The 16,861-nt window shown below is 35.4% G+C and overlaps 1 annotated feature.

Annotated features, from left to right (window-relative positions):
• Positions 7,725–8,225: an enhancer, noted in NCBI's record as "H3K27ac hESC enhancer chr1:158879152-158879652 (GRCh37/hg19 assembly coordinates)". NCBI's record gives its function as "activates a minimal SCP1, AML or CMV promoter by ChIP-STARR-seq in primed H9 embryonic stem cells {active_cell/tissue: H9 hESC(primed)}" and the evidence as "EXISTENCE:reporter gene assay evidence [ECO:0000049][PMID:30033119]".

The raw sequence follows: 16,861 nt of genomic DNA, 5'->3' as shown, positions 1-16,861 counted from the left end.
TGCTACATATATTAATTGTAAATGCTACATGTATAAGTAGCATTTCTCTAGCACCTGCCGATAAAAATGACATGGCCATATTAATGGTAATAATTCAGATTTTATTAATGTTGACTCTTCCAATGAGGGCATTCAAGCTCCTGTAAAAGTCACAATAAATTATTTTTCGCTGTTAAACATCCTCTCTTGTTCTTGGCTAATATCTTGTACCATATAGGTTGATGCTCTGGAAGTCATTAATTGCTGGTAATGTTGAGCATCTGATCATGTGTATTTGACATTTGAATAAAGTGATTATTCAGATCTTTTGCCCATTTTGCAAATGGGCTGTTCAAATAAGAGACTATGTGGTCATCCCCATACTGTGAATACATACCCTGTATTAGTTACATGCATTAGAGACATTTTCTTACAGTGTTTGCTGTATATTTTCACTGTGTTTACTTTGCCTTTTTTTAAAATAAAGACATTTAGAATTTGCATGCAATCAAATTTAATCAAGTTTTTCTTCTTGGCTTTTAAACCGATCTCATGATGAATATTTAAGCTATTTCTCCCATCTCATGTAACTAATGAGCCAGATGTAGAGGAAGTCTTTTTGACCACGATGTTAAATTAGTTTCCTGACCTCTTAATTTCCTCAAATATTTTATTAGTTAGTACAAGTTTCATATCTTTCAGAAACCTATAATAAATGTCATTCTACTAATATATTTTAATAAGTTTCTCTGTTTAAATGTGAGTACAAGGGCATCATTTGGTTTCTCATTCCTTCTGCTTGGAATCTAAATATAAAACAACAAAAATCTGGTTTTCCTAAAGCTTAAAGCAAATTAATTTCCTCTTTGTAAAACTGGTATTTTCACTGTGTTTACTTTGCCTTTCACGGAAAAGTAAACACAGTGAAAATACACAGCAAACACTGTAAGAAAATGTCCGTAATGCATATAACGTATTAGTTATATTAGGGATAACCACATCTGACTCTCGCTTGGATAAACTATGCATTTAAAAAGTCAGTTTTGACCTCTGGTTCTTTTTTTTTTTTTTCAGTTGAAAGAAGGAGAGTTGAAACTTATCTCTTTTCTTGCAGGGGATATTGTGACATTTTCCTCTCTGCAGGATATTGTTATTTCCTATATCCTGAATTTTATAGATAAAATTATCATTTAGTGAAAACTAAATATTCAGTTCCTGAGAACATAGTAACTGCTGTACATATGAGAAAAAGACTGTGACAGATTAAAAACAAGATGTAGCCAGGCATGATGGGGCATGCCTCTACTCTCAGCAGTGAGGTGGGAAAATCCTTTGAGTCCAGGAATTTCAGGCTGCAGTGCAGTATGATCATGCCTGTGGATAGCCACTGCACTCTAGCCAGAGAACTTAGTGAGACTTCCTCTCTAAAACAAGCAAACGAAAACAAGATGCAGGACAGCAACTCCTAGTACTGTACAGATATACATATACCTTAGGCTAGACCTTCTCAGAGGGCCCTCCCTCACTATCCTTTTTGCCAGCAATGCAGTATTTCCTAATGTCAGGGCTCTAGGAGGTAGCATGTTTACAGAAAACCAAGGGTCAGAGTGGATTATCTTTAAAGTCCTTTCCTGATGACATCTAGGTCCCTGTGAATTGCAGCATAATACATTAATGAAGGGAAGGTTGTTTATAAGAAAAAGTGCTGGAGGCATGGGTTAGCCTCATCTACAAACCGGTAGCTCCTGGTGTGGTCTGACCTCAGATACTATACACAGTGATCACCTGTGAGTTGATCGGACTTAACTGTATCTGACTTCTCATCTATGTGACCCATTCAGCCTAACACCTTTCCCAATGCAAGTTAATCAGTAACAGTAAATTCATCCATGAGAATATTAATAGTAACAGTGATATTCAGCCTCACAAGCAATTAAAAGATGAATACAGAAAATAAAGCAAATTATGCAACTATTCACAGAGATATAATAGGACAATATATTGTTTAAAACCATTTTCAGAAAAAAATGCATGTATTTACCTAAAAATAAATCTGAGAGGGGCATAATATGGATGCTGGAGTTTCAGATAATTTAAATTTAATTATTTTCAGTTTGATTGACTAGTTCTTTGCATTTCCTACTCTTTCTGAAAGAGTTATGCATTAAGACAAAATATAATATAAGAAAAAGAGGAATAGAGCATCTTTAAATTGTGGCTGGTGTTGTGCTTTCATTGCTTGTGGCCTATGCTAGTCTATCCCCTTTCTTTACCTATCAAATAAATATAGAACACTTATTTTTGGAATAAATTTCATTGGAATTTCAATTAGTTGTTAGTCCCAGATGCATGCATATATTAAAGCTGGTCTCATAATAGGTATCAACTTCTTGCCTATGTCAGATGATCTTCATTTGGTCCTTTCCTTAGTTGGACTGAGTCATAACTTAGGACTTAGTTTTCATTTTTTTTAATTGAGTAAGTATATTTATTGGGAGCTTCCTATGAGGCAGACACCGAAATAGCCCCTAGAATATAGTGGTCCACAGACTGAGAAAGTAGACTAACATTGGAACTCGGAGTAAGGAGGGAAATAAAATATTTATTAACTTCAATTGTCATAAATAGTAGAAAAGAAAGAAGTTCCTCACAAAGGGTGCACCATGAAGATTTTACCTAGGCTACAGAGGTCTAAGTGAGGATTTCCTGAGTACGATATGTCTATATTGGTATCCAGAGAGTGGATAGGGTTGGAGAAGTAAGAGTTTTAAGGTGAAAGAAATATAGTGTCCGAAAATCCTGAAGAAGAAAGGAGCATGCTGTGTGTCAAAGAAACTTGAACAGATTAGTGAGCAAAGAAAAGAGGTGTTAAACAGACGGGAGGAGTAGACAGTGAGCCCACAGCTATATTCACCTATACTATTCTGGACTGTACACCTCTCTCTCCCTCCCCTGGAACTACACAGAAGAGAAGGCTTTCTGCAGTCAGAGATTATGTTAAGTTCATCAAGTGTTCCTGGGGAAGCCAAAGATTAAAATGTAGTGAATTTTCAATATATACATTTGATTAAGTAGTTAATTATTAGTGTTATTTTTTAAAATTGATGGATAAAATTGTGTATACTTATTCTGTACAGTATGATGTTTTGAAGCATGTATATATTGTGGAATGTTTTAATCTACCTAATTGACAAATGAATTACATCACATAGGTATTATTTTTGGGATGGGAACACTTAAGATCCATTCTTTCTGTATTTATTGGGATATAATATATCATCATATAGCATAGTCAATATGCTATACAATAGATGTCTTGCACTTATTCTTCCTATTGAACTGTACTTGTATATCCTTTTCCCTTCCCACCCTCCTCCTAGGCACCCTATCATCTAGTAACCACGATTCTACTCTTGACTTCTATAAGATCAATTTTTTAATATTCTACATATAAGTATAATCATGAGACATTCATCTTTTTGTGTCTGGCTTATTTTACTTAACATCATGTCCTCCAAGTTCATCCATGTTGTTAGAAATCAAAAGATTTCTCTCTTTTTTTGAAGCTAAATTGCATTTCCATTTTGTATATACATATATATATATATATAAAACATTTTCTTTATCGATTCATCTGTTGATAAACACTTAGATTGATTCCATAGCTTGACTACAGTGAATAGTCTGCAACAAACAGGGAAGTGGAGATATTTCTTTGACATAATAGATTTTATTTCCCTTGGATATACATATCTAGTAGTGGGATTCTTTGATCACATGGTAGTTCTATTTTTAATTTTCTGAGGAACCTCTAGAGACTTTATATTACGGCTTTCATCTCATTACTTGTTATTGTTCCATTCAGGTTTTAGATTTCTTTATGGTTCAATCTTGGTAGTTTGTATGAGTCCAGGAATTTATCCATTTCTTCTGTGTTTTCCAATTTATTGGCATATAATTGTTCATAGTTGTCTCTAATGATTCCTTGAATTTCTACAATATCAGTTGTAATGTCCCCTTTTTCATCTCTGATTTTATTTATTTGAGTTTTCTCTCTTTATTCTTAGTCTGGCTAAAGGTTTGTTCATTTTGCTTAACTTTTCAAAAAAACAACGTTTTATTTTGTTGATCTTTTCAATGTTTTTTTTTTTCATTTCAATTTCATTTATTTCTGCTCTGATCTTTATTTTCTCTGCTAATTTTGGGTTCAGTTTTGTCTTGCTTTTCTAGGTTTTAAGATGCATAGTTATGTTGTATATTTGAAGATTTTCTATTTTTTGGAGTAGGTGCTTATTGCTGTTAACTTTCATCTTAGTATTGCTTTTACCATGTCACATAGTTTTGGTATGTTTTGTTTCCTTTCATTTTCATATACTTCAAGAAAATTTTAAATTTTCTTCTTAATTTCTTCATTGACCCTCTGGTCATTCAGGAACATATTGTTTAATTTCCATGTGTTTGTATAGTTGTCAAAGTTCCTTTTGTTATTGATTTCTAGTTTTATTCCATTATAGTAAAAAAAAACTTGATATGATTTCATTTTTTTGAATTTTTTAAGACATGTTTTGTGGCCTGACATGTGATCTATTCATGAGGATAATACATCTGAGGAGAAGGATATATATTCTGCAACAGTTGAATGAAACATTCTGTCAGTATCTATTAGGTCCATTCTGTCTACAATGCAGATTAAGTCTAATGTTTCTTTGTTAATTTTCTGTCTAGATGATCTGTCCAATGCTGAAGGTGGGGTGTTGAGGTCTTCAGCTATTATTGCATTGGGGTCTATCTCTCTCTTTACCTCTAATAAAGTTTGCTTTATATATTTGGGTGCTCCAAAGTTGGAAACTTATAAATTTACGATTGTTATAACCTCTTGCTGAATTGACCCCTTTATCATTTATATGACCTTATACAAGGTCTATAATATCAATAGACCTTTGTCTCTTTTTATTTTTTTATTGAAATCTGTTTTTTTTTTCTGATAGAAGTATAGTGACTCCTGCTGTTGTTTTTATTTCCATTGTAATGGAATATCTTTTTCCATCTCTTTATTTTCAATTTTAATCTTTAGAGTTGAAGTATGTCTCTTGTAAGCAACAGATCATTGGGTCCTGTTTTGTTATCGATTCAGCCACTCTATGTCTTTTGATTGGAGAATTTAGTCCATTTACATACAATGTTATTATTGATAATAAGGACTTACTCCTGCCATTGTGTTATTTGTTCACTGGTTGTTCTGTGGTCTTCTCTTCCTTCTTCCTTTCCTTCCTATCTTCCTCTAGCGATGGTGATTTTCTCTGGTGTTATAATTTAGTTTCTTGCTTTTTATTTTTTGCATATCTGTTGTAGGTTTCCTGGTTCGAGGTTACCATAACCCATTATTTTAAGCTGATAACAGCTTAACACTGTTTGCATAAACAAACAAGCAACAAGAAAACTAGTAAAAACTCTACACTTTAACTTCATCCCCTCTGAGTTTTTACTTTTTTTGTGTTTCTATTTATATCTCATTATACTATGACTTGAAAAGTTATTATAGTTATTATTTTTGAGAGGTTTGTCTTTTAGTCTTTCTACTTAAGATATGGGTAGTTTACACACCACAATTACAGTGTAAATTACAATATTCTGTGTTTGCCTGTGTACTTAGCATTATCAGTGAATTTTGTACATTCAGATGATATTTTCTTGCTTTTTAACATCGCTTTTTCTCAGACTGGAGAATTCCCTTTAGCATTTCTTGTAGGACAGGTCTGGTTTTGATGAAATCCCTCAGCTTTTAATTGTCTGTGAAGCTATTTCTGCTTCATGTTTGAAGGGTATTTTCACTGGACATATTATTCTAGGATAAAAAATTTTGAGGTTTCTCCTTCAGTACTTTAAATATGTCATACCATTCTCTTCTGGTGTGTAAGGTTTCCACTGAAAAATATGCTGCCAGACATATTGAAGCTCCATTATATGTTATTTTTTAAAATTTAACTTTTATTTTAATTTCAGGAGTACATGTGCAGGTTTGTTATATGGATAAACTTGTGCCATTGGGGTTTGTTGTACAGATATTGTCAACCATGTATTAAGTGTAGTACCTTCTGGTTATTTTTCCTGATCCTTGCCCTCCTTCTACTCTCCACTTTCCACCCTCTGATAGCTACCAATGTGTGTTTCCCCTCTATGTGTCCATGTGTTCTCATCATTTAGCTCTCACTTATAAGTGAAAACATGCAGCATTTGGTTTTCTGTTCCTGCATTAGTTTGCGAAGGGTAATGGCCTCCAGCTCCATCCATGTTCCTGCAAGGGACATGATCTCATTCGTTTTCATGGCTGCATAGTATTCCATGGTGTATATGTACCATATTTTCTTTATCCAGCATACCATTATTTGGCATTTAGGTTGATTCCAATCTTTGTTATTGTGAATAGTGTTGCAATGAACATACATGTGCATGTGTCTTTATATTAAGACAATTTATATTTCTTAGGGTATACACTCAGTAATGGAATTTCTAGTTTCTTATCACTTTCTACCCTGATGTCCCTCTCTCTCCTCTTCAAGGCCAGTAACTCTTAGATTTTCCATTTTTTGGCTATTTCCTATATCTTTTAGGTATACTTCATTCTTTTTCTATTTTTTTTCTTTTTTCTCCTCTGACTGTGCTTTTTCCAATTGCTTATCTTCCAGCTCATTAACTCTTTCTTCTGCTTGATCAATTCTGCTGTTGAGAACCTCTGATGTATTCTTTAGTATGTTAACTGAATTTTTCAGCTCCAGAATTTCCTCTTGGTTCTTTTTAATTGTTTCAATTTCTTTGTTAAATTTATTTGATAGGATTTTGAATTCCTTCTTGTTATCTTGTGTTATCTTGAATTTTACTGAGCTTCTTCAAGACAGCTACTTTAAATTCTCTGTCTGAAAGGTCACATATCTCTGTCACTCCAAGATTGGTGCTTGGTGACTTATTTAGTTTGTTTCATGAGACCATGTTTTCCTGGATGGTCTTTATGCTTATGAATGTTTGTTGATGTCTGGACATTGAAAAGTGAAATATTTATCGTGATGTTTGCAGTCTGGGATTGTTTGTACCCATTCTTCTTGGGAAGGTTTTCCAAGTATTCAAAGGAAATTGAATGTTGTGATCTAAGTCTTTTGTCACTGCAGCCATATTAGCATTTGGGGGTACCCCAAGCCCAGTAATACTGTAAATCTTGCAAACCCATAGAAGTGCCACCTTGGTGGTCTTGGGTAATATCAAAGAGAATTCCCTGGATTTCCAGAAAGAGGCTCTTTTTCTTTTCCCTTACTTTTTCTCCAAACAAAGTCTCTCTGTCCATGCTGAGCTAGCTGGAGATGTGAGAGGTGTGACACAAGCACCCCTATGGCTATAACCACTGGAACAGCCCTGGGTCAGACCAAAAGCCAGAACAGCACTGGTTCTTACTCAAGGGTCATGGTAACCCCTACGTGGCTATTGCCAGTGTTTATTCAAGGCCCAAGGGCTCTTCATTTAGAGGGTGCCAAATCCAGCCAGACTTGTGTCCTGCCCTTCAGCATTTTTCACTCTCCCTCTTCCCAGGACAGGTCCCAGAATGCCTGTATCCAGGCCTGGCGCCAGGAGCCAGGGCTTGGAGTCTGGAACCTTAGGAATTTATCTGGGGCTCTGTTCTACTGCAGCTCAGTTGACACCCAAATCATAAGACAAAGTCTTTCCCACTCTTCCCTCCTGTTTCCACAAGCAGAGGTGTTCCTGTGGCCAGCACTGCCCCAGGCCCACAGGAATTACTGCCTGGCTACTGCTGATGTTCACTCAAGGAACAAGGGCTCTTCAGTCAGCTTGTGGTGAATGCTTCCAGGCCTGGGTCTCTCCCTTCATAGCAGTGGGCTCCCCTCTGGCCCAGGGCAGGTTAAGAAATGCCATCCGGGAGCCAAGGCATGGAATGAGGAATCCTAGGAGCCTGCTTGGTGCTCTACTTCACTGTGGCCAAGCTGGTGTCCACACTGAATTTTATTTATTTTTTGAAGGTTCTTTCTTATGTAAATAGTTATTCAATTTGGTGTTCCTGTAAGGAAGGCAATCACTTGAGAATGCTATTCAGCCCTCTTGGTCAGACTTCTTTGATTTTTTTTTAATGTGGCAAGAGATAAATGTCTAATTTCATTCTTCTATATGTAGATATACAGTTTTCCAAAAGTCATTTATTGAAGAGACCGTTTTTCTCCCATTGAATGTTGTTGGTACCTTTATCAAAAACCAATTGGCTATTAATGTGTGAATTCATTTGTGAGCTTTTTATTCTGTTCCATTGGTCTATGTGTTTTATTTTATGCTTGTACCATTCTGTTTTGGTTACTATAGGTTTGTAGTATATTTTGAAGTCAGATAGTGTGATGCCTCCTGCCATGTTCATTTTGCTCAAAATTGCTTTAGCTATTCAGGGTCTTTCATTATTCCACATACATTTTAGGACTGTTTTTTAATTTCTGTGAAGAATATCATCAGTATTTTGATGGAGGTTGCATTGAATCTATAGATCATTTTGAGTAGTCCGATCATTTTAACAATATTAATTCTTCCAATCCATGAATACAAGATATCTTTTTTTTTAATTGTGTCTTTTTCATTTTCCTTCCTTAATGTTTTATAGGTTTCAATGTAGAGCTCTTCTACCTTGTTGGTTAAATTTATTCCTAAATATTTTGTTTTTGTAGCTATTGTTAATGCTATTGTTTTCTTGACTTGTTTTTCATGTAATTAACTGTTAATGTATAAAAACACTATTGATTTTTGTACATTACTTTTGTGTTCTGTAATGTTACTGAATTTGTTTAAATCAAACAGTTTTTTGGTGGACTTTTTATACATTTTTATATGTAAATTTTGTCATCTGCAAATAAAAGACAATTTAGTTTCTTTCTTTCCACTTTTGGTGCCTATTATTTTTTCTCTTGCCTAATTATTCTGGCTATGAAATCCATTACTATGTTGAATAGAAGTGGAGAAAGTGGGCATCATTTTCTTGTTCCATATCTAGAAGGAAAAAATTTTAACCTTTTGACTTTCAGTATGGTGTTAGCTGTGATTTTGTTATATTTGGTACATTACTTCTATACCTAATTTATTGAGATTTTTGGTCATGAAAGAGTGTTAAAGTATCATCAAAATTTTTTTCTGTGTCTTTTGAAATGATCATAAGGATTTTGTCTTTCATTTTGTTCATGTAATGTATCACATTTATTAATTTGTGTCTGTTGGGTCATCCTTGCATCCTTGGGATTAATCCCACTTGATCATGGTGGATGATCTTTTTAATGTGTTGTTGAACTTGGTTTGCTAACATTTTCTTAGGGAGTTTTGCATCTATATTCATTAGGGATATTGGCCTGTAGTTTTCTGTTTTGTAATGTCTTGTCTGGTTTTATTAATAATATCAAGGTGATGCTGACTTCATAAAATGTGTTGGAAGGATTTTCTCCTCCCAGATTTTTGGAACAGTTTCAGAAAAATTAGTATTAGATTTTCTTTAAATGTTTGGTAGAATTAAGTCATAAAGCCATCAGGTCATCCCAGTAAACATCAATTTTGATTACTAGGAAACTTTTTATTTACTGATTCAGTCTCTTTACCAGTTACTGCTGTATTCAGATTTTCTATTTCTTTGCAATTCAATCTTGGCAAGTTGTATGTATCCAGGAAATTATTGATTTCTTCTAGGTTATCCAATTGATTGGTGTTTAATTGTTTATATTGGTCTCATGTTCCTTTTTATTTTTGTGGTGTCAATTGTAACTTCTTTTTAAATCTTGATTTATTTGATATAAGTCTTCTCTCTCTTTTTCTTAGTGTACCTAAAGGTTTGTAAACTTTTTTTATCTTTTCAAAAAACCTACTCTTAGTTTTATTAACTATTTGTGTTGTTTTTCTAGCCTCTATTTTACTCATTTCTGCTCTGATCTCTATTATTTCCTTTTTATACTAATTTTGGTCTGTGCTTATTTATTTATTTATTTATTTATTTTTGAGATGGAGTTTCACTCTTGTTGCCCAGGCTGGAGTGCAATGGCACAATCTCTGCTCACTGCAACCTCTGCCTCCTGGGTTCAAGCAGTTCTTCTGTCTCAGCCTCCCGAGTAGCTGGGATTGCAGGCACCTGCCACCATCCCTGGCTATTTTTTTTTAGTTCATTGCCTTGCAGAAAGAAGATGATCAATTATTAGGCAATTTGGTCAATTTGAAACATGATGGAAACTAATGAATAAATAGCTGCCTGATGGAGAGATTGAATGGATGAGCCATAGCAATTTATTCTGTGGAGCTTTAAGTCTGCTCCTCCTCTTCAACTTTGCCTGAGATTCAGGCATCTCCTCTGCTCTTTGAAATGTGAGAGTGTTGCTTGCAATGGGTGCATACTTGGTGCTGCACCATGTTATTTGTGTCCTAAATGTCCATATTCCTGTCCTTTTGCTGGACTTCTACTTGCTCCCTGGTACAAAATCACAGTCTCTAATGACTGAGATTATTTTAACAGTTGCTTGGCTTTTCTCCTTCCAGGCTTAATTACTTTAATCAGTTCTTTAAAGCCAGTTATCTTTCTATAAAGCCATGATTCTACCATGATTGATAATCTTCAATAATTCCTCATTTTCTTTAGGAAAAATTGCTTGCTCTGTAGTCTGGTATGGAAGGCTCACTTCTTCCTGCTTGATCTTTCTTTGTAATTCTTTATTATTATTGCTTTTATTGCAGAAACATTCTCCTTTAATAGCCTGGTAGGACCTCTGGTAGTGTAGTCGTGGGCTGCTCACTATGAGGGGCTGAAGAGTACCCAATGGGGGATGGAAGTGAGACAGTGGTAGGGCTAGACATGCCAATTTATTTCCCATGGCTTAGAGGGTTGGGAGAGTCAGGCCAACCTTCATCAGCGGTGGTGAAATAACTAGCAGCAAGGGGCAGGGGGCAGAGGCAAGGCCAAGGCAAGGGATACCACCATTGTGCCCCACACTACCCGCTTATTGCTCCCAACAAATATTTGTAGGGGATGCTGGGGCTGGTGGCCTTGGTTGGGATGAGTATGTGGCAACCCTATTTCAGTCAGGCTCAAAATAGGTAGGGCCAGTGTGGCCACCCTGAATGGAACCCTATGTGTTCTCCTGGAATAGCTGCCAATTGTTCTGCAGGATCTCAGTGCCCACTTTTTGTTACTCCAGCCCATCAAAATTTTTATCCTTTCTTAAGTGTAAATAAAAAGAAAGTATTTTCTTTTTCAGATGGTGAGAGATATTTAACTGAGTTGTTAGACTATCTCTGATATCTGGGGGACATAATAAGAGACTAGAAAATTCATATTTCAGAGCAGAAAAATTCAATAAAAACTAATAAAAATCATTCAATTATAAAATGCAACACATATTATCTCTAGATGTTAATGTGTTCTTTTCCTTCTTCTGGGATTTTCCCGAATCCTTCAACTCTCTTCCCTTTTCTTCTACTTCTATGTTTGTGGTTGGACATTCTTTTCACCTCAATTTATACATTATTCCATTTCCTGAATTAGATGATCTTCACTTATGCTTCATTGGACCCGGAAGATTCTTATTTTGGTAATTGGTACTCATTGTTTTAATGGGTCATTGTGTTTATTGAGAGTGTAATATGAGACAGATATTGTCCTAGTCACTTGGATGAAGTGGGTTTTTAAAAGGCTGACAGTGTACTCCTACTCTTGAAACTTATAGTGCCAGTGAAATGACATTAATTCACTAATTACAATTGTCATAAGTATTATAGTAGAAAAAATCCCAAGGTCCTACACATATGAACATCAGGAAGACTTCTAGCCTGAGGAAGAAATGATCTGACCAATTTAGGAGATTTCCAGGTAGAGAAACATGGTTTATAAAACTCCTAAGTAGAAGAAGGATGTTGAAGAAACTTTAATGGATTAGAAAGTGAAGGGAAAAGTGTGAAAGAAACTCCAGTAGTAGACAACGAACCCACCGCTGTGCTCACATGTATTGCTAGGGATGCTACACATCTTTGATTTTCCCCATGAAAAGTGAAAGAGAACTTCTTGAGGCCCAAAATATATCAATTCACCATGTATCCCATGTAGAAGCAGAATATTAAAATATAGTTAATTATCAATATATGCATCTGAGTAAATAATAATCAGAATTATTTTTGGTAGAAGATGAAATGAGATGCTATTTTGAAGTTCAAATCATGAGTTATAGAAAATAGAGCAAAAGAGGAACAAGAGAAAAGTGTGTTAATTAGGACAAAATGCTTCTGTGATTTTGTGATTACTAAGTAGGTACCCAGATCTTTCTCTACAGAAATCCCCACAGCTTTTTGCTCATTCGAACTTCTTCCATGGTGGTCTATATCTCGATATTTTCTTCAGAAGTGCAGGAATCACTATTTGCCTTGTAAGAATAGATAAATAAATTGATAAAACTCTCCAGAGACTAAACTGCAGGATGTTATAAACTTGTGAAAGGCTAAAAAAATAAAATATTTTGAAAGATAACAAAAAAAACCTCACTAGTTTGGGTCACTTACGTTGGTTAGTGCCAACTATTTCATGCTGTGCTGTGAAATAGCTCTCAAACCCATTTACTGTCTCCTCCCAGAGAAGAGAAGCAATTTTGAGACTCCTTCCATAAATTTTCATAGCTTTCTACTTTGTCAGGGAAACTGCAGTTTTCCTTGTGTAAATATCTTATTGAAAAAGAAGAATGAATGTGTATGTTCATTGCAGCACTATTTACAATACCAAAGACATGGAATCATGTTAAATGCCCATCAATGATAGAATGGATAAAGAAAATGTGGTATATACACACTTTGAAATACCATGCAGCCATAAAAATGAATGAGATCATGCTCTTTACAGGGACATGGATGGAGCTTGAGGCCATTATCCTTAGCAAACTAATGCAGGAACAGAGAACCAAATACCACATGTTCTCTTATAAGTGGGAGCTAAATGAGAACGCATGGGCACATCAAACTTCTATAAGTTTGATTATAATGCATCTTGGTGTAGTCTTGATTGAAATGAATTTAGTTGGAGTCTTTCACCTTCTACTTGGATTTTTACAACTTTCTCCAGATTTAAAAAGCTTTTTGCTATTATTTTAAAAAATAACCTTTCCATTTTTTCTCACTGTTCTTCTTATATTATATTTAGATATTTGCTCTATTGACGCTGTTCCATGAATCCTTTAAGCATTCTTTATTCCTTTGAATTCCTTTTTTCTTTTAGTTCTCTTATATATTTTCAAATAACTGGTGCTCAGTTTTACACTTTCTTCCTCCTCCTTTGTCAGTACTGCTGTTGATGTTCTCTACTACATTTTCTTCAATTCATTCATTATATTTCTCAGCTCCAGAGATTGTGTTTAATTTTAATTTTAATCTCTGTGCTATATTACTTATTTTGGTCTTGGTCATTTGCTGTTTTTCTTATTTCATTGAATTGTTTCTCTGTATTCCTGGAAATATGCTGTGTGTCTTTAAACAATTATTTGGAAATTTTTGTCAGGCAGCTTATGAATCTCTCTCTCTCTCTCTTTTTTTTTTTTTTTTTGATGGAGTTTTTGCTCTTGTTGCCTAGGCTGGAGTGTAATGGTGTGATCTCGGCTCACTGCAACCTCCGCCTCCCAGGTTCAAGCAATTATCCTGATTCAGCCTCCTGAGTCACTGGGATTACAGGCATATGCCACCACTGCCAGCTAATTTTGTATTTTTAGTAGAGACAGGGTTTCTCCATGTTGGTCAGGCTGGTCTCGAACTCCTGACCTCAAGTGATCCACCTGCCTTGGCCTCCAAAGTGCTGGGATTACAGGTGTGATCCACTGTGCCTGGCCTCTTTTTCATAGAAACAATTACTGGTACTTGATTTTGTTCCTTGCTATTCATTATGCTATGGGGTAATTGTACTTACTCAGAGCCTACTCTGAAGCAAGTACTGAAATAGCCACTGTGATAAAGTGGTTTAAAAGGCACTCAGGGAACTCTTACTCTTGAGACTTGTAGTCTCGAAAAGACAAATATCCTTAACTACAGTGATAAGTGGCAGAAGAAAATATAAGATCATACATATGTAAACGCTAGGTAATATTTTTTCCTAGCCTGGGAGGAGATCTAAGGAAGTATTTCTGAACAAGAGACATTAACACTGGTATTCAAGGATAGTTTTAACCAATAGGAAGTTTGCAGGTGAAAGAATCATGATAAAAATCTTTAAGAAAGGAGCATGACATGTGGAAGAAACGTTAATAGTTTAGTGAGCAAGGGTAAGAAGTATAAAGGAGTCTTGATCAGCAAACCATGAACCCAACCGCTTGCTGTTACGTACAATACATTCTCTCTCTTCCACAGAACAACACAATAGGAAAACTTTTAGTGGTCAGAGACACTGTTACATTGATAAAGTATCCCTTGTGGAAGCAAAAGTTTAATTGTTGTGAATTCTCAATATATTCATTTGAGTAAGTAATTAGTGGAGTTACTTTTAGGTAGAACAGATAAAGTGTTTTGTTCAGGCTTAAGCATGACAAGATATACTAAAGAAAAATGTAAGAAAAAAGGAAGAAAAAGAAAGTACCTGGCCCGGATTGGTGGCTCATGCCTGTAATCTCAGCACTTTGGGAGGCAGAGGTGGGTGGATCATGAGGTCAGGAGATCAAGACCATCCTGGCTAACATGGTGAAACCCCGTCTCTACTAAAAATACAAAAAATTAGCCGGCTTGGTGGCGGGCACCAGTAGTCCCAGCTGCTCGGGAGGCTGAGGCAGGAGAATGGCATGAACCCGGGAGGCGGAGCTTGCAGTGAGCCGAGATAGTGCCATTGCACTCCAGCTTGGGTCACAGAGTGAAGACTCTGTCTCAAGAAAAAAAAAAAAAAAAGAAAAAAAGAAATTCCTCTGTAATCTTGTGGTTAACAAAGGAGTTCCCAAATTTTTATGCAAATCCCCACAGGTGTCACCTCTCTGGAACTTCTTTTGCAGTATTCTAGACTTTGATTTTTTTTCCTCCAGAAAATGTAGAAATAACAGTTTTGTACTAACAGAATAATAAATCATTAAAACTATCCAAAAAATTGAGCTGAAGGATGTTATAATCTTGTGAAAGGCTAAGAAAGTGAAGTAGTTTGAAAGGTAACAATAAAAAATGGCATTGGTTTGAGTCACTTAAAACTTTACTAGTGTTGGCTTCATCATACTGTTCTATGCCCCAGGAAGACAGCAAAGTTATGGAACAATTGTGTAACTCCTCCCATCCATGATCTTAGATTTTTATACCCTTAGCAAGAGAAACTAAACTATTTCTTTCCTGTAAATAATTTATCAAAATGAAATAAAAAATGACAGCAGAATTTTTTTTTATTTTCTGGTAATGTATTCATGCCTGAAATAAATTCTGATATTGGAAGGTTATTCTCCAGGGGACTTAAATTTTGATATTAAAACTTTATTATCCAGGAGATGTAAATGTCCCTTGAATACAGCTAAAATATCAAAGGAGAAAGATGAGACATGCCTAGCCATTTCTCCATCTTCTACTATTCACAGAGTGGCAGTGGCAGAATTGTCTATCGCTGCCAGTATATTTGACTGCATCTCCTGGATGGGGGAGGGTCTTCTATGAAATCAGTTTTGGTTTATATACTATATGAATCATTCATCCAATTATTAAGAGTTGATAAACCCATAGCTTGTCAGAGATAGAACATCATTACAAATATGGAGATCCTTCTCAAATACAGAGAAAGGAATTTGTCACCAACTGCCCTCTTAACTATGACTAAACTGTATTATCTCGATGATTGAACTCATGATTGCTCAAGTATTTTCGCATTGCTCATAGATTAAATGTAAGTGGCTTCAGTTTCATATCATGAGAGTGTTGAAGGCTTGCAATATTTGGAAGAACACTGAACTTCTGGTAGGGAAGAAGATGTGAAAAATTCTTTGTTTTCTTGTTTTTTGTTTTTGTTTTTGTTTGTTTTTGTTAAGGATTGTGGATATGCTTCAGAGTATTGTAAATCCTGCAGTCTTAAATAAATTGAACCAATCAGCAGATATTATTGTGGTAACTCAATATTGTGGTAACATTATTGTGGTAACTCAATATTGTGATAACAGTATTGTGGTAACTCAATATTGTGATAACATTATTGTGGTAACTAAATGATCTGCAAATAGGATGAGGTTATGACTGAAAAATGGGTCCTTCAAAACAGCCAATTTTGCTGCATGATCAAAGGCTGTTTAAAGGAAAGAATGCTAATAGTTTTAATTCAAACTTGTGCGGTAGAGAAGATAGCTGAAGTCTGGATTTGGAAGCTCTCTGAATGGTTCCACCAAAGCAGAAGTAAGTTGGGGAAAAGCAAGGATGATATGGGGGTCCATGGATTGCTTATGGGCTTTAGGTTGCTGCTTATGTGGACTCATGGAGCTGGTCTTTAGGTTAAGGGTAGAGAGTAACATAAGAAAAGTTCATAAAGGGCCACAATCCAGAGATCGGAGGTAGAGGATACACAGCAGCAATAAACATGATTCAGGAAGTTATCCTGCCTCTTTTTCCTGTAATCAGTTTGTAAGGAAGGATATATTCTGTTGATACTCTGAGAGATAACACAGAAATTACTAACCTAAAAAAATAGCAACTCAGAACAATGCTCAATAATCCAAACTAGTCAGATGGATATTTAGTAAATGAACAAAATAAAGGCAAAAAAAAAAAAACTTACACAGCTGATGGGAAATAAAAGAACTCCTCACGGGGAAAAGATATCTGTTGGGAGCAGGCCCCCCAAATATGTCCATAAACTGGCCCCAAAACTGGCCATAAACAGAATTTCTGCAGCACTGTG

The sequence above is a fragment of the Homo sapiens genome, chromosome 1 (genome assembly GCF_000001405.40).
Source record: "Homo sapiens chromosome 1, GRCh38.p14 Primary Assembly".
Lineage (NCBI taxonomy): Eukaryota > Metazoa > Chordata > Mammalia > Primates > Hominidae > Homo > Homo sapiens.
Note: the sequence above shows the minus strand (reverse complement) of the source record. Positions and strands in the feature narration are given on the sequence as shown.